The sequence below is a fragment of the Homo sapiens genome, chromosome 3 (assembly GCF_000001405.40).
Source record: "Homo sapiens chromosome 3, GRCh38.p14 Primary Assembly".
NCBI lineage: Eukaryota > Metazoa > Chordata > Mammalia > Primates > Hominidae > Homo > Homo sapiens.
Genome location: NC_000003.12, coordinates 51,702,143 through 51,719,418, shown reverse-complemented (window position 1 = coordinate 51,719,418; position 17,276 = coordinate 51,702,143). Strand labels below are relative to the sequence as shown.

Genomic DNA, 17,276 nt, shown 5'->3' with positions numbered 1-17,276 from the left:
TCCCTCTGCTCCTCACAGTCTGGGGACTCCCCAGAAGCTGCTGTTTTCCGGTTCGGTGCCCGCTGCCTTCTAGGCCACAGGAGGGCAGCGGTCGCCTGGCCACAGCCATGTACCTTAGTGCCCTCTGCTGGTGAGCCCTGACAGCAAACTCCAGAGATGCCCAAGGGCTCTGGGCTCCTCAACTGGCCCATCAGGCCAGAGCTCCTCCGGGGACTGGAGAAACGCTCCCTTTTCTGACTTCTCGCTGGGCTTGACAGCAGATGGTGTCTCCAGCTGCTCCGCCTCTGCCCTCCCTGCTTCACCCACCCCCTCTCCCCATAAGCTCCTTCTGCCTTTGTAAGTGCCAGTGAACAGGTGACATTCAGTCCATGCCTCCTCTTGGTTCCCCCTGCACCAAATGCTCAGTGTGGCTCCATGCATTTGGAGGATCCAGTGCCAGGCTGGCCAGCTGTGGGAAAGCCCACCATTCCCGGAGGTCACTCCTGCTCCATCACCCACACCATCCTGGGGGCCGGGACCCCAGGGAAACCCCTGGACTGCCAGATGAGCCTGTTCATTCATCTCTATCCATTTAAAGCCCCCACCCGACCCCAGGATGCCTGGGCCAGTCTGCAGTGGCTCCTTTTAAGGGAGGATGGCTCATTCATTTTCCATCTCCCCACCAGGCAGGGCTGGGTCTGTCTCGGTGGCAGACAGGTCCTAACATCAGGCACAGAGCAGAGTCGATATTTAAACGCTAGCAGAATGACAGCTGGGAGGCTGTGGAGGGCGTGAGGGGCCTTGCTGGGTCAAAGGCAAAGAGTGATTTTTTAAAATAAAGCCACTTTATTTACAGGTAATACAAAATAAACCACAGGACAAACTACTGTGCAGGGGGAGGGGCAGCCCCCACAATAACCACCCTCCCCATCCCAGAGTAACTTATATAAAAAATAAAAAAGGCCCTAGTTGGGGGGAGGGGCTGGGCTGGAAGCACCTTTGCTGGTTAGGACTGGGGCCTGCCGTCCTCAGCCACCCGGGTCCAGGGCAGAGTGAACCCTGGCTTGCTCCTCTCTGAGCCCTGGGCCTGGCCAGGAGGAAACACAGCTACAAGGGCAGTTAGTGGCCACTGCAGAGGCTCCTGGCCAAGGCTCCTGACTTCTGAGTCTGAAGAGCTGGGGTAAGGAGGTGGGTAAGTGACTTTGGGGGCAGACATAGGGTGGGTAATAAATTATTGCAGTGCTCCAGCCAACTTCCTCCTGGCCCTGGACGTGGGTCTGCACTAGGTTCCCAGGAGCAGCTGTGTCAGGGCGGGAGTATGGGGTCTTCAAAGCGATGACGTTGTCGAGTCCACCACCTCACGGCCATTGCAAACAGTGGGGACAAACTGGGAGCCAGACCCTAAGAAAAGGAAGCCAGAGGTTGGGGCCAATCCCGAGGTCCTCCATGGAGGGCAGGCAGTGGGGAAGCAGGGCTGTGAGGGAAGCCTCCCCTCCCCTCTCCTGTCCTCTCCTGCCAGTGTCATTTGGGGGGCACCTCACCCCCAGACAAGAGATCTCAGCAACCCAAGGAGCTGGACAGGGAGAGGGGAACAGGCAGAGAGGGCTGCTTAGGACACTGACCTTGGCCAAGGCTGGAGCTGGCCCTGGCAGCAGCACTGCCAAAGCGGCTGGTGGGTGCCCGGTGGCTAACCACGTTCTTCTGCGGCTGGAAGAGGATGATGTGCAGCTTGGGCGCAAAGAGGCAGCCAAGCACCACGGAGCCGCTGAGGCTGACTGACACGCACATGGTGGTGGTCTGTACCTGCGGTGGGTGAGTGGGTGAACAAGCACAGGTCAAGACCTGGGCCTGACCCCAGGACCCCCTGCCTGATCTGTGGGGGAGGGAGTGGGGGAGACTAAGCATCCAACACTGGGCTGTGGTCCATTTGCCGGATCCCAAAGCATTGCTAGGAAAATTGGGCACAGTCCCAGCATCAGACCCAGACCATTTTCCCAGGGTGACAAGAGTTCCAGCTGAAGGGGAGAACATGCAGGGGGGCATGTATACACAGGGGTGTGTGCATCTGGGGGCTGCAGGAATGGAGTGCGTGCATGTAGGTGTGTGTGTATATCTGTGTAAGTGCATGTATGTGGGGTGGTGAATTTCTGCAGGTGTCTGCGTGAGTGTATGTGTGCGTGAGTGTAGGGTGCATGGGTATGGATTCATTTGTCAGGAAGATATATGTGTGTGTGCCAGCGAGTGTGTGTATGTGGGATATGTGTGTGTGCATGCATGCATGTGGCTATGTCTGTGTGTACAAGTGTGTGTGTGTGTGTGCATGCATGTGTGGGTACGGTGTGTGTCTCAGGTGAGTCCTTAGCTGCCTGTGATTGGCATGCAAATGCAAATCATATGCAAATGCAGGCTGAGTCAGAGCAGAATCCCTCCCCAGCCCTGGCCTCTACCACCCAAGCAGGTGGCCCAGCAGGTGCAAGCAGAGCAGCCAAGCCCAGCGGTCCCTGGCCCCCAGCACTGTGCCACCACACCTCTGTCCTGGGGAAGGGGCCTTTGCCGGGGCTTTCGCCTCAATTTTTCTGCAGTTCAGACCCTGCTCTGCACTCCCAAGCTGAGTGACCTTGGGCAAGGGATTGAACCTCCCTGAGTCTCTGTTTCTTCATCTGTAAAACGGGAGAGCCATGGAGCTTACTCAAGTTATGAAGATTAACCAAGATAATCTTCTTACTCAGAACATAGCTCATCTGTCACCTCCTCAGAGAGGGCTTCCCTGACCACCCTATCTGAAGCAGCCATTGCCCCTTGGAGCTGGGGAGACCCATTGAGACACAGTGCCAGTTGGAACCAAATTTGCTCAGAAGCCACCAACTGGGGAACAATTTTCACCTGCTTTAGCTTTTCTCAACTCTATACCCTGGATCTCCTCCCCTACCCACCTTGCTTCATCTTTCCTGCCTTCCCTGGCTTCATCTCTCAACCCCTTCTGCAGATGACCCCTCAGTGGAGCAGGGCAGAACCCTGTCCATTTGAACATATTTCTGCACCCCCATCACCTTCCAGGATAGGGGATGACATTCAAGTCCTGAAATCTCAGCTCTCTCTAACTCGAGTTCCCCACCTCCCTGGCCATTTCCCTAGGTCCTATTCAGCCCTCCCACCTTCCCCTTGGGATCCACACAAGCTGTGGTCCCCTGAGTGGGCATTATCCTCTTGGAACCCCAGAGCTACCAGTAGATTAAATAAGATACCAGGAAACAGAGGGTCTGGTGTCCCATCTCCCCCGACCTCTGTGGCAGGTAGCTCACCCGGTAGTCACTGGAGGTGACATAGAAGATGGGCAGGAATGCCAGCCAGATGATGCAGGTGGTGTACATGGTGAAGCCAATGAACTTGGCCTCGTTGAAGTTTTCGGGGCACTTGCGAGTCTTGAAGGCATAAAGCGTGCAGAGCGCGATGAGGAGCACATTGTAGGCCAGCGAGCCCAACATACTTGCATCGCGGTGGTTGCAGCGCAGTGTCACCACCTCCCGCCGTTCGGGGGCTGTCTCCTTGCCTGTGCCCGGTGCCTCCACCACCAGCCAGGCGACCACGATGAGCAGCTGGCCCGAGATAAGTGCCAGGCAGATGGCCACCTGTGAGGCAGGACTGATGAAGCGTGGCCGCTGGGCACCCTCCCGGGCCCCACCGAAGATGCGTGCAATGCGGTTGGTCTTGGTGAGCAGGGCTGAGTAGCAGACAGAGAAGGCAGTGCCCAAACCAAGACGCCGTAAGGTACACACTGCCGTGGATGGCTTGGCAATGAAGATGAAGGTCATGCAGTAGCAGAGGAAGACACCACCCAGCAGGATGTAGCAGAGCTCCCGACCTGAGGCCTTGACCACTGGTGTGGCATTGTGCCGCACAAAGACACCCAGCACAAAGAGGGTGGCCAGGGCACCGAGGCAGGCGATGGTGACAGGTCCCACAGCCCAGGCATCGCCCCAGCGGATGTACTCCTGGGGCAGTTCGAAGCAGCCAGTCAGGCTGGCATTGGGCCAGTAGCCCAGGCCACAATCAGCGCAAGTGAATTCGTCCAATCGGTACTCATAGGGCTGGCACGGAATGCAGAGCCAGCAGCAGACTTCGCCCGGCTGCACACTCTTCACCTCATTCTGGAGGCAGGGCTCACTGCAGCGAGAGGCGGGCAGGGGGCCGGCTGAGGGTGAGGCCCATGGGATGAGGCTGGTGTCCAGAGTCAAGCCTTCTGCCCAGTAGCCCACCTTCTGGTAGCGATAGCGCCCACTGCCTGCACGCAGATAGGTGAAGATGTTGTAGCGGCCAATACCATCACCAAAGCGGTCAAAGCGGACCTCATTGTGGGTGTCAGCTGGGCGAAAGGGGGCTAGGATGGGGGAGGGAAGGAAGAGAAGGTTGGACTAGTGTGTTACCCTGATGTGACCTCAACATTCACCCTAACATGGAACCCAAATGCCAGAGCTAAGACCACCATTAGCCCTTCCAATCCTTAACCCAATACTAAATCCTGCCTTGACCCCAATCATTTTTCTAAATGAGAGATGACAACAAAGTCTTACTCCTAAACTCCAACATCAAACCCCAACCCTAAATGCCAAATGTAATCCCAGCCTTAAAGCCCAGACATCTCCAAAAACCTAATGCCCACATCAATCCCCAACCATGACTCCCCAAATTCAACTTTAGTACTATCCAACACTTTCCAACCCAGGCTCCAAATCCCAACTTCATCGAAACATACACTACAGCCCTCTCCCCAAACTCAATGCTAAGGCTAAACCCAGTCTCAGCTCCAATCCTGTCCCCACTAATCCTAACAACAACCCCAGCTCCAGCACCCCTAGTCCTAACAGTCATCCTGGTGCAAACTGAATCCCAACCTCACTGGTCACCTGCAACCACTGCCATTCACCAGAATGTGGTCAGTGGCTGGAAAATCACTTCCTCTCTCCACCCCCACTTCATCCCCTGTAAACCTCACATCTCCCAGCCAGGCTCTAGCCAGGATTTACAGCCATCCCTGGCCCCAGTGAGAAATCAGGGTTCAAGAAAGCAGAAGACATGCTTAAGGCCCCATGAGTGAATAGTGCAGCCTAGATTCAAACCCAGGTCCCCTCAAGCACCTACTCTTTCTACTCAGCCTAAAAGTTCTCAAAATCCAACTCTAGCCCTACCATAAATTCCACCCAAGCCAAACATGCTGAATTTAGCCTTGCTCTAACATCAACCAAATCGGACCCCAGATTCCAACCCTAACCCCTACACTGATTGTAGCTAACTCTGAATGTCAGTTCTATTGGAAGTACTCTTCATCTTAACCCTGGGCCAGGGCTTCCAAGCTTTGTCTCCCACTGTTCCCACGGTGATTCTTCCTGAAGCATAGTGATGATCTGCAGCAGTCATTTCTCTTAAAGCTGGCACTCTTATTAAAATAACTTTTGATTTCAGGAGACTTTCAGGTCACCTTGAGTGGAAAATCAAGATTAGGAATAGAAATTTTCCCTGAAGCTAGGAGCAGTGCCACATGCCTGTCATCCTAGCTACTCTGGAGACTGAGGCAGAAGGATCGCTTGAGCCCAGGAGTTGGAGGCTGTATTGTGCCTGTGAATAACCACTGCACTCCAGCCTACAAAATATAGTGAGACCCCATCTAAGAAAAGAAAGAAAGAAAGAAAGAAAGAAAAAAGAAAGAAAAGAAAAAAGAAAGACAGAAAGACATTTTCCGTGAATATAGAGCGTCATCCTGATGCTCACCCTCAAGCCAGACTGATTCTAACTCTTGGTGCTGCCTGAGAATGGGCTTGAGGTCTCCTGGTCTCCACCTTTGGCAAGATAAGGAGACAGAAGACAGTGGGCAAGGCCCAAGGAGGAGCCAGAGACCCTCAAAATGGCGGGACCAGGCCAGAGGTCTACTCTCTGGAAGAAAGTGGAACCTCAGCCGTAGCTTCAGTTGGAGTCCTCTCTGCCTAGCATCCTTGCCCTTGCTCTGACGCCACCCCAGGTGAGTCCTTTACTTTCACTCTACTGTTTCCTTAGCAAAGGAATGGAAGCTGAAGTTCTGCTTCCCCTCATCCTCTGACAGCCAGCAGGCCAATGGACACTGGCCAACACCATTACCATCAAACTTGACGTTGAGCACAAAGTCCTTGTAGAGGCGGCGCCCGTTAACTGGCCGCATCGCGTCACAGAGCCGGGTGGTGTTGGGGCAGAGGGCACGGTGCATGTTGTGGAGCGCATGGGCCATGGCGTACACTGCATTGACCACAAACATGATCTTGGACTCCTGCTCAAAGGGCACAGCCCGGAGAGAGTGGGCTGCGCAGTCTCGCTGCCGGAAGCTGCAGCGGAACCTCTGCTCCCAGAATTCACGGAACCAGGGGTTCCGGCTGTTGTTCCAAGGGTCCAGGCTCTGGAAGTAGGAGGCAAAGTCACTGATGGGGTAGGAGGCCAGCTCGATGGTGATAGCACCCTCAGCAGCCCCCTCACTGCCTGCCACCACACTCTCCAGGGCCCCCCAACCATCACTGGCCACCCAGGTGAAGCTGGCATTGAGGCGCTGGCTGGCAGCAAGCAGCTCCCGGGCATCCTCAGAACGGGTGAACAGGACAGCCACGCGGGCACTGGGCTTCTGCAGCAGGGCTCGCACCACACCCTCAAAGGCCGCGCGGCTCATGGCACGGCCCACTTTCTCCGAGGTGGCCACACAGATGTTGCGGGCACGAGCCTCTAGCTCAAAGGCCTCAATGCCTGTCTCGCCATAGTCGCCCTCAGACGCCACAGTGGACACATAGGTCCAGTTGAAGAAGCGGAGAATCTCAGCCATGGCCTTGGCTTGGAAGAAGTCAGGAGGCACTGTGCGGGCAAAGTAGTCATAGCGGGACTTGTCACTCAGCTTGGCACTGGTAGAGGCGTAGCTAATCTGTGGGATCTGAAATAGCCTCAAGAGGTTGGCCACCTGGGGGAGGAGTAGAGAAGGCAAAGATCAGCGGTCAGATCAAACACTAGAGACAGGTGCATCCCCCACAGCTAGCAGGTCTTGGTGTCAAGTGTCCACAAGGTCAGGCCTAAAGGCTCCCTCTCTAAAGCCCTGCATCCTGACTTGACAGTCTTCCCTCTGGGCTAGGGAGTTTTTTTATCTCTTTCCAAGGGCTGAGAGAGAGAAGACCCAGGGTGGAGACACCAGGGTCATGAGCCACACCTGATCCCCTCTGCCATCCCCTTTTAGACACATGGCAGGGGGGCCAAGGAAGGCCTGGGTGGAGGGAGGTTGGCACCTGGCTACACTGGGGCAGAGGGAGGCATGAGATGGCATCTGGCTACTCAGGGCTCTTCGGCTCTCTACTTATTTGAGGGTAGGTGGCCCTTCCCCTGAATCAATCTGATGGAATGATACAGAAAGAAGGAAAAGTTTCCCCTAGGAAGAAAGACACAGATCCCAGGGTCCGGTGGCCCTAATAGGCCAAGGCTTGGTCTCCATTGAATGCCTGAGTCTTAAACGTTCTACCACTGGCTGCCTGGCACCCCATCTCCCACCCTCAGGTCCCACAGGAGTGGGATCCGGCCAAGGGCCAGGTAGAGGGTGGGTAGGTGAAAGCAGAGCATGGCCCAGATTCTACAGCAGAGGGGTGAGTCTTGTGTTGCAACTGGATACAGGCTATGGCTCTGACAGTCTAGGGCTCAATGTCTCCTCCCCTCCCACACATTTTACCTTTGGGCCCCTGGAGTTGGCAAATCTCCCTGAGCCTCAGTTTCACATTCCTGCCCTACAAGGCTGCTGAGAGGATAAAAACGATAATGCATGGGAGGCCACAGTGCCTGGCAAAGGGAAGATGATAGGGACATGGGCAAGAGAGAAGGAGCAGCCATGAGGGGGAATATTAACAGGCAGGTGCAGCCTACGGATGACAGGCTAGCCTCGTGTTGATCAGGACGAGGGAGAAGCAGACCACTGCTGAGGCGTGGGCCCTGATCCAGGAGGCAGGCAGCTTGGGATGGCAAGGAGGTAACTGGACTTCTGGAGATAAATGCATGAGCCCTAAGGAGGACTGTGGAGAAAACTTCAGCAGAGGCCCTGGAAGACAGCAGCAGGTAGGAGGCCGCCCACTCATCCCTGCCCCAACCCGGGGCTGCAGAAATAGATGCTAGCACAGCCACATCTTCCCAGGCTGCTGCCTAGCCACCTCCAGTGACTGGGACTAGCAGGACAGCTGCCTAGCCACCTCCAGTGACTGAGACTAGCATGACAGCTGCCTAGCCACCTCCAGTGTCTGGGATTAGCAGGACAGATAATCCACTCCCAGCAGTGGATGGAGTGGCCAGGCCTCCCCGACTTCAGGCCGGTAGCTGACTCCAGGGTTCTCTGATTTCTGCTTCTGCTCCATTTCTCCTGAACAACTGTTCTAGGACAGGGGGCCTGGCCCTCTCCATCTCGGCAATGCCCTCAGCCACTCTCCGAAAGGAAGCTGAGGCCAAGCCAAGGCCTACCTTATGTCCCCCAGCCCTGATTCTAGCTCCAGCCGCATCTTCCAGCAGCCTGTGCTGGGCACTTGGCAAGCGGGAATCTGGGTGAGAGGTAGGACCCAGTCAGAGATGGGAGGATCGCAGCTGGGCACAGCCCTGGGAGCAGCAGAGGGGTGTCAGCAGGGCCAGCAGCCTCTGCTGAAGCTGAGCCACAGAGCACCCTCTGCTGGTCCCTGTGGGAGAGTAGGAGGCTGAGGGCAGGGGAGCTGCCTCCCCACCCTTCCCACCCCCTCAAATCCTGTGCCCCCTGAAGACTCTCTGGTGCCCTCCCCCGACACATATTCTGTTTATCTTCCTTCTGACTCCCCTACCCTGATTCTCTCCTCTGGCCACTCCTGGCTTCTATCTGGCCACCCCTCTCCAATCCAGGCAGAGATGATCTGACAAGTCAGGAGCCCCTTGGCCGAGAGCCGATTTCACAGTTCCCCTCCACCACTGCCTTGAATGTGGCCCACCTCTCTCTGAGCCTTCGTTTCCTCATCTATAAAATGGGTTAAAAATAATAGCAGCTAATATCAACGGTGCCCTTATGACTTGCCGGGCCCCTGATACATACTATGCATCTATCAACTCATTAAATTTCCATGGCAAACCTCAAAGTAGAAAGTGTTGTGGGCCGGGCACAGTGGCTCATGCCTATAATCCCAGCACTTTGGGAGGCCGAGGCGGGTGGATCACCTGAAGTCGGGAGTTTGAGACCAGCCTGACCAACGTGGTGAGGTCAGGCTCGTCTCTACTAAAAATACAAAAATTAGCCGGGCATGGTGGCAGGCGCCTGTAATCCCAGCTACTTGGGAGGCTGAGGCAGGAGAATCACTTAAACCCGGGAGGCAGAGATTGCAGTGGGCTGAGATCTCACCACTGCACTCCAGCCTGGGAGACAGAGCGATATCCTGTCTCAAAAAAGAAAAAAAAAAAAAGTGTTGTGAATCCAATTTTATAAGGAAGAAGCTGTGACACAGAAAAGAGAAATAACGTGCCATGGTCATGCAGTTAGTAAGTGGGAGACCTGACTATTAAGCCCCTCAGGGTTAACATCAAGGGTGAGGGTGTGTGTGTGTGTGAGGGTGTGTGTGTCTGGGTGTGTGTGTGGGTGTGGGGGTGGGTGTGGGGTGTGTGTGGGTGTGTGGGGTGCGTGTGTGTGGGTGTGTTGGGTGTGTGTGGGTGTGTCGGGTGTGTGTGGGTGTGTGGGGGGCTGTGTGTGTGTGTGAGGGTGTGTGGGGTGTGTGTGTGTGTGTGAGGGTGTGTGTGTGTGTGGGAGTAATGAGAGTAAGATGTTCTCTTGCACAGTCTCTAAAAATCGACCACCATTATGTGACCAGGGCACTTTCTTAGCTTCTGTAAAAGCTACTGCAAGGAAGCTTCTAGTTTCCCTTCCAATTCACAGCAGCCCATGAGCCCCTTTTCAGCAGGAATTCTGGGTCACCACCTCCGGCCTCCCTCCCTAGCCCCCATTTGGGTGGCTTCCACGTACCTGGATGGAGACATCACTGTAGGAACCGCCAATAACACCAGTGATGGCAGTGGGAGCATCACCATGGGTCGCATAAGAGCCGTCGGGGCAGATGTGGCGTGAGCCATCAGCACCACGGCTGAGTGAGGCACGCACAAAGTCCAGTGCCTGCTCCAGCGCATGTGTGTCCTTGGAGCAACTGTCGAGGATGTGTGCACCCAGGCGCACGCCAGGCAGCAGGTGCGGGTCACGGTTGATGCGGTCCAGTGCAAAAAGCATGGCCTCCAGGCGCTGGATGCCACGGTGCTCATTGACAGGACCACAGTCCTCTGCTGGGCCGCCCTTCTGGTGCACTGGGAACAGCCCACCCAGCACCAAGTCTCCCTCCAGGGTCAGCACCTTCTTGGCTGGGCCCTCAGCCACAGCACCCCACAGCAGCAGCAGTGCCAGGAGCGCAAGCAGCGATCCCATGGCCCCAAAGGGGATGGATGGGTCCCGCAGACCTGGGTCTCCAGGGGATGAGATTAGAAGCAGCGAAGGCAAAGAGAGGAGGAAACAGGGACCAGGAAAGGACAGACAAGAAGAGAGATGCGAAGGGACCCAGCTCCTGCAGAGAGATAGAAAGACAGAAAAACAGACCAGGAAAAGTGGAACCTGAGAGCAGCTGCCCCTTCTGACTCTGCCTCCCCACGAGCCCCTTTCCTAGGTACTCAAAAGCCAGGGAGGGACAGGATGGTGTCATTAAGTAGGTTGAGAAGCTCCTGGGACTCCCCTGGACCTGTCTCTCAGCCCTGGCCTCAGCTTGGTGAGAGATGGGCCATATTCCCCTACCAAACTCAGCAGTGGGGAGAGATGCAAGCAGTGAAGTCCCAGGCAGAGGACAGGAGACCCCAGCCAATGCTGACCCCTCTGTAATTCAAAGGGTGTCCAAGAACAGCACAAACCTCCCAGGACCCCGAGGTCAATACCTTTGGAACAGACTATGTCACAGTCACAAACTCAGAGGTCCCCATCCTGAGCCTTGGATTTCCAGAGAGAAGGAACTGCTGTCTCAGGACCCACCAGGGAAGAGGAAGGGAAGCATCTCTAAGGGACAGTCTCCAACCCGTGGGGAGACTGGAGCCCATGTGAACACCCAAGGGTTCTAACCTTTGGTTCTTAAAAAGCCATCCCCACAGTTTGCTGACTGAGGAAGGAATAGAGACACTAAGCCCTGGGAATGAGACAGCAAGGTGGAATGGCTGGCCTCAGGGAGGGTACCCAAGTGGCTCAAGGTCCTAAGTCAACAGGGCAAGCAGATGTTCACGTATGTGTGTGTCAGGGTTGGGGGCTAGAGTCTCCAAACAGTGCTGAGGGTGAGAGTGCGGGACTCTCTAGCTCTGTGTAGAACACTGCTTGAGATTTTGTGCCTCTGTTTTCTCTTCACTCCCGACCCAGCAGAGAAAGTCACCATTTCCAATCTCCCCATCCTCAGCTTCAGGGCCCTGCCCACCCTAGCCATGGCCCTCAGAGACCCCCTCCCTGTCTCTTCCCCACTGCGTCCAATCATTTGTACCCCAGTTGCCTTCCCAAACACACACCCCACAAAGGCTCTCACAATCACACAGGCTTGGAAAGGCTGGGAGAGGGACATACCTCTTTCCTCAGAACAGGAAAGGAAACTGAGTTTGAAGAAGGGCAGCAACTAACTCAAGGACCCCATGTGCTGGCCACGGAGGCTGAGCCTCTTCATTTTGCCCCCTCAGCTCCCCAGGGCAGGGGCACTGGGCTCCTCTGGGGATCAGGAAAGCAGCAGCTTACCCAGGCAAGCGAGGGAGAAGCAGGGAGGAAGACCAGCACAGATGGAGACAGGGACCCAGATGGGGGCTGAAGCCAAAACTGGTCAAGTCGCAAGTCTCCCAGAGGGGAGGCCCAGACGGAAGCTCAGAGGCAGGAAGGGGACAGAAACCCGGAGTCAGACAGCCAGGAGCCTGGGCCACAAAATCTGGGCAGGGAGCGAGCAAGCCTGAGAGGTTGAGACAAAGACGGAGGCACAGACAGAAAGAAGGACCAGAGGACGCTGGAGCAGGAGGAACGGGGGAGTGCGATGTGGGGCGTGCGTTTTCTGGAGAAGAAAGGCGGGACGCCCGGGGCTGTCTTCCCGCTTCCCGGAGCTCTCAGGGAACGCTGTCTGGACACAGCAGCGCGGGCGCCCCACAACTTGAGGGCCCGCAGGACCCTGGGACGTGAGGTAAGGGCCAAAAAGGTCGGCAGCGGCAGCGGCACCACCACCACCGGCTCACCCTACCTGGCGCGCTGGCTCTGGCGCGGAGAGAATCGGAGTGGAGCGGGGGGCGCGAGGCTCCGGCTCCCGCTCGCTCGCTCGCTGGCTCGCTGGCTCTGCGCTCTCCGCCCGCCCGCTCGCCCCGCCGCTTTCAATCGCGGCCCGCCCCGCCCCGCCCCCGGCCCCGGCCCGCCCCCAGCCCCTCCTCCGTTCCTCCAGACGCCAGGTCTCCTGCTCCCAACCCAGCCTCCGCCTCCTCTGGACACTCCGCGCTCCAGCTTTTCTGGGGACCTCAGGGCCTGGAGCTGTCCGCCTCGTGGTGCTGAATCCCCGAGCGCTCTCGCTCTGCGCTGGAGCGGGTGCTTCGTGGCCCACTCCGCCCCATAGTCAGACTACCACCTAGAGAGCATAGGTGGGGGGCGGGGGGATGCCACGGGGCACGGGGTGGGGAAGGTCACTGCGCCCCGACAGGTGCCCATAGTGCTACTGCAGAGTGGAGGAGCTGGCCTTAGTGCAAGGGGTGCCTCTGGGGGATAGGTAAAGGGGCGCGTGGGAGACGGGTGGAGTCTATTCTCCCCACTCAGCGATTTCAGCTGGGTCCACATCCCAGGCCTGAGTTGGAGGCATGTGTCCTCTGCCACTTTTGAGACCTGGAGCCAGAGTCACTATGAGGAAAAGATTGGGGGAAGGGAGAGGTCAGAGGAGAATGGGGCCTCCCCTTCCTTCCTGCAGATGCCCTTTAAACCTGCCACCCACTCCCATGTAAAAAGGGTATTTAAGCAAGGAGAGAGCAACCTGCAGGAAGGGCTGCAGAACCAAGTACTAGGGTCAACCCTGAGGGAGTGTTAGGGATGGCAGGGGCATCTGGGAGGGGAGGGGCCTAGGGAAAGGCTTCTGGAACTGGCTGCTGCGTAGGAGGGAGTGAGAGCTGGAGCCCAAGCAGAGGGAGGACAGCTCTGAGAAGATTCTCTTGACTCTTCCCTCCCACAGCAGGATGGGGAAGGACGCCCCTGGGTAGAGGGTAGTGGATAAGCTGTAGTGCCAGACTGTGCTGAAGGAATGGGGATTAGAGAGCCTGTGCTATCTGCCCCTAACATGTGCACACACTAACAAGTGCCAAGGGGCATGGCATCCCTACACACATTCCCGACACTGCCCTTTCTTCCACAGGTGTCAGTGGAAGCAAGGCCAGCTCAGATACATGCTAATGAACATGCCAAGCCCAGACCCCTCAGGCACACACACCCACATGTGCGTGTGGCAGTCCGTAGGGGTGCGGGGGTGATCACCAAGGACGAGCTTTTTCCCTGGACACAGAAACCTGATGTCCTGCTGCTGTGGAAAGAATACAGCTTTGAAACGAAACAGACACATAAAACCCAAACAAACACAAGCCCCATCACTAACAGGAGACAAGGTGGCAGTGGGAGACAGACATGCTGTCTTCCACCTCCAACTCTGCCACCGGCTGCTCTCACCCTCTCTGGCTGCCTCAGAGCAACAGCTCCCTGGGGTAGGTGAGCAATGGGCCAGGCCTCTGGAGCAGAGGGGTTGACAGCAGGAGGGTGCTGAGGTGAGGAGTCACACACTCCTTCTAGCCACACTCCCAACCTGCTCAACAAGTCAGCCTCACAAAAGGCACAGGGCTGTAAACACAGATATGGCTGTGTACAGCATCAGCCAGAAAAGCCCATGATGTGGCCTGCAGCAAACAAGCTGCACAGTCGCAGCACATGGACACACAGTTACACACAGCTAGGCAGCCACCACTCCCAGCTGTGTGCACACGGATGAGGACATACACTTAGCCTTACACAGTTGTAAATGTGGACATGGCCACATGCATAGTACACATAAACATGCAACCACACACAGCTATACTTGTAGACAGCCATAATACACATGGGCACACCCCTGCCCCTAAGAACATGTGACCATGTCTACACACGGCTGCACATGTGGACACAGCCACATATATACAGCTGCTCACACAAGGACATGCCACAAATAGCTGTCCACCAAGACATGTCCACACATACATGGCCATAATTATGGATATACGGCTGCAGGACACATAGCAAATGTGTGTTTTTATATGTGGACACATAGCAAAACACATAGCTTTATACATGAACGTCATGAACATCACCATACACACAGTTGTACAGACACAGCCACACACAGTTGTACATGAACAAAGCCCCCATAGAGATGCTGTTAGCCAGCCTCACATGCTCCTATAATACAACCATACACAGACACAAAGCACAGCAATACACACACACACACACACACACACACACACTCACACAGGCACACAGCCATCCACACAGACTCAGCCATGCTCAGGTACAATCATACCCTGATGCTCACCTGGGCACAGCTTTACCCAAGCAGCCCCATCCATCCGTGGTTACACAGAGCCAAATGCATGAGCGTGGGTGCACATGCACACACACAGGTACACAGCCACTGGCAGGCACAGTGGGGGAGCCTCGCCTACTGGGGAAGTACCAGCGTGCAGGCACACTAGTCACAGACACAAAGGCATCCCTTGGAGGCAGATGAAGACAGGCTGTGAGCTCCCCATTCCTGAGCCCTGAAGGGCACCCCATACTCAGCTCTCACCCAAGCCAGGCTCTGCTTGCTCTCTGGCAGCTGCAATGGAGGGGCAGCTGGCCACTGGGGTCACAGAGCAGGACGTGGAGGATCTCTAACTCCCCTCCTCCCCCAACCCCAGGGTACCTGCCATGTTCCTTCCATTCTTTGTCCTGGGGAGGGGAGGCTCCTTCCCACTCCCAGCCTATCTGTACAGCCATCCCCCCACCGCCCCCAACCAAGGCAGAACAAACAAATACACAACCCAAATCCAGGTGAAACAAGTAAATCATTGGCTTTATTCTGGGTCCTGGAAGCTCCACTGTGAGTCTGAAAAAAAGACACAACAGGGGTGGCAGCCCTGGGGGCTGGTGCAGAAAATAGTCCCTGGCTCCTCTGGCCCTGGGAGCCTAAAGGGCAGTGAGGAGAAGGCTTAGCAAGAGGCCTGGAGCAGGGGAAGTCAGGTCCCTCAGGAACCCCTCCTCCCCCAGAGGAAGGAGGAAGAGGGCTGGAGAGTCTGCTGGAGAGTCTGCTCAGTTCCTCAGCAACTGCACTGCAGGAGGGTGCAGGCCATGGGTTACTCCTTGCCCTTCTCAGGGGCAGTGGGCTCCCAGAGCCACTTGGTAGTCCCCAGGGGCTCAGTCCCAGGGTCCAGCCGTGACTCCCCTAAGGGCCCCTCGCCCTCCAAGTCCAGCTCCTCAAAAGAGGAGCCGCTGGCACCTGACTCGCTGTAGCTGTGCTCGCTGCGGGTGTCACCGTCATCCCAGCCACGGCTGCTCGCCCCAGGTGACAGTGTGGCAGCTGAAGTCTCCCGGCTGCCAGGGCTCACTTCCAAGCTTACAGAACTCGTGTCACTCATTGTGTCAGCTCCTATGACCAGGAAAAGGGAGCACAGGTTAGCTAGGACCACCCCACCCCCTCCTCCAGGGAGAGGCAACTCAGCACGCAGTGCACTCATGAATAATGCAGCCTCCCGGGCTCAGGGGGCTTGCTCCAGCTGCCCTCTGCCCTCTACCCTGACTGGGGCTGCACAGACAGGGCAGAGGGAAAGAGCTGGGAGGAAGGGAGGGAGGGAAGGAGGGAGGGAGGGAGAGAGGGTGGGAGGAGGCAGCTGTGCACTCTTCTCCCCACTCTAAATTAGCCTCAGCTCCCTGCACTTCCACAAAGCCTGCTGCCCTCCCCCCACATTTATTAAGGGCCACTCAGCCCTGAGGTGAGGAGCTGAGGTAGAACAAAGAGACACAAGTAGTGTCCTCTCCACCTTCCCCCACCCCCACTTCAAGCTTGGAAAGAGATGTGTCCAGGGCCAGCTACAGAACATCACCCACAGGGCACGAGGACTGCAGAATGCAGCAGGAGGCCCCTCTGCAGCCCTCCCCCGTGCAGGGCTCCCAGGAGCAGCATCCAGGGAGTCAGCAGGCCCCTGCCTCTGGTACACACCAAGTCCCAGTTGAGGAGGGAGCTGAAGTACGAGGAGGATGGAGAAGGCCTGAGAAATACTCAACCAGCTGCAAGGAGGAGGGTGCTGGGATGAAACATGTTAAGGGTTTTCTCTCCCTATGCCTGGGTCGACCCTGAGAAACCCTTACCCACCCCACCCCCAATGACTGGTGCTTCCTGAGCCACAAGATAGCAAAAGGGGATGATGAGAGCACTCTGCTGGTGGTTGGGGTGCCCCAAACCAGTGCTGAGCCAGGTTGATGGCCCAAACTCCTTCTAACCTGCTCCTTCCACCCCCAATACATCCTCCAAGCAAGCAGCCCCTTCATCTGCCCTGTCCAGGAGCAACCCCTGGGTTCATCTCCCTGGATCAGAGGCACTGAATGCAGGCTGGGGTGGCAAGGAGGAACACATGGCTCAGGCTCGCTGTGTGCAGGAATCCAGACTGGGAGAAAGTGGATCTGCTACCCTTCCTGTATGATGGGGAGAGGGTCAGCTGTCAAACATCACAGAAGGTGAGGGGTTAGCCAGCTTCCCCAGCCACTGTCTCCATGGTGTTGGAGCCAAGCCAGGTGCAGCTGGGGTCTGCTTGGCGCCTGGACTCAGCCTGGGGCTTTCCTTGAGCCTCAAATGGGGCCTAGGTTGGGGGTGGGAGAATTAGGAGAGGGGGGAATTTGGGGTCTCTCCCTACCCCCACCACCCACTCAGCCCCCAGAATATGCCCTCTGGGCGCTACTGGCAGAGGTGAGGTGAGCCCTAGAAGCCCAGGCTGCTGGCCCAGGGCCCTCCTCTTGCTGAGGCCCCAGGTGTGGCTCCCAGGACAGAAGCCTGTGAATGAGGTGGTCAGGGAGCTGGGGGAGCTTTAAGTTTTGGGTAGTTTCTTCTGACCAGGGGACAGGATGCCAGGCCCTCACTGCTCCTTAAATAATGATCAGTGCCCCAGGGACCGCAGGCCTGAAAAGAGCAAAGGAGGGAGACAGTTTCTCCCTGGCCCTATTAAACTGTATGTTC

At 56.6% G+C, this 17,276-nt stretch overlaps 2 protein-coding genes across 31 annotated transcripts in view, besides 2 other annotated features; both read right to left on the bottom strand.

Annotated features, from left to right (window-relative positions):
- Positions 1–805: 805 nt before the first annotated feature.
- GRM2 (glutamate metabotropic receptor 2) lies at positions 806–12,351 on the bottom strand. Of its 15 annotated transcripts, NM_001349117.2 has the most exons (7): positions 12,252–12,351; positions 9,986–10,571; positions 6,109–6,946; positions 5,298–5,455; positions 3,282–4,357; positions 1,602–1,782; positions 806–1,380 (listed from the first exon to the last, which is right to left on the bottom strand). In NM_001349117.2, exons 4-7 carry the CDS (start codon positions 5,392–5,394, stop codon positions 1,307–1,309), a joined length of 1,428 nt encoding a protein of 475 aa, NP_001336046.1. In that variant the 5' UTR covers positions 5,395–5,455; positions 6,109–6,946; positions 9,986–10,571; positions 12,252–12,351; the 3' UTR covers positions 806–1,306. The 15 variants fall into 15 exon arrangements, 14 of the variants coding, with proteins under 14 accessions (NP_001336046.1, XP_016861760.1, NP_000830.2 ...); XM_017006271.2 differs by lacking the exon at positions 5,298–5,455 and having other exon boundaries at positions 11,765–12,351; NM_000839.5 differs by lacking the exon at positions 5,298–5,455.
- Positions 2,112–2,969: an enhancer, noted in NCBI's record as "H3K4me1 hESC enhancer chr3:51750466-51751323 (GRCh37/hg19 assembly coordinates)". NCBI's record gives its function as "activates a minimal SCP1, AML or CMV promoter by ChIP-STARR-seq in naive H9 embryonic stem cells {active_cell/tissue: H9 hESC(naive)}" and the evidence as "EXISTENCE:reporter gene assay evidence [ECO:0000049][PMID:30033119]".
- Positions 14,611–15,479: an enhancer, noted in NCBI's record as "H3K4me1 hESC enhancer chr3:51737956-51738824 (GRCh37/hg19 assembly coordinates)". NCBI's record gives its function as "activates a minimal SCP1, AML or CMV promoter by ChIP-STARR-seq in naive H9 embryonic stem cells {active_cell/tissue: H9 hESC(naive)}" and the evidence as "EXISTENCE:reporter gene assay evidence [ECO:0000049][PMID:30033119]".
- Positions 15,096–17,276, bottom strand: part of TEX264 (testis expressed 264, ER-phagy receptor) — a 33,072-nt gene continuing 30,891 nt past the window's right edge. For all 16 annotated transcript variants that reach the window (NR_024012.3, NR_103462.1, NR_103463.1 and 13 more), the window contains one exon: positions 15,096–15,695. Coding sequence is in view for 13 of the 16 variants with exons in the window: in XM_047448276.1 (XP_047304232.1) it covers positions 15,403–15,695 (293 nt within the window). In the remaining 3 variants the exon portion in view is untranslated. The remainder of the gene's footprint in view (positions 15,696–17,276) is intronic.

What these genes read in the sequence shown, in the direction of transcription:
- GRM2 (XM_017006271.2), bottom strand. Translation starts at nt 10,435, where the DNA reads ATGGGATCGCTGCTTGCGCTCCTGGCACTGCTGCTGCTGTGGGGTGCT. An exon ending in GCTCAACGTCAAGTTTGATG is followed by an intron (nt 4,358 to 6,108) that starts GTAATGGTGTTG and finishes CCCCCATCCTAG; the next exon opens with CCCCCTTTCGCCCAGCTGAC. An exon ending in CAGCTCCAGCCTTGGCCAAG is followed by an intron (nt 1,381 to 1,601) that starts GTCAGTGTCCTA and finishes TCCTTTTCTTAG; the next exon opens with GGTCTGGCTCCCAGTTTGTC.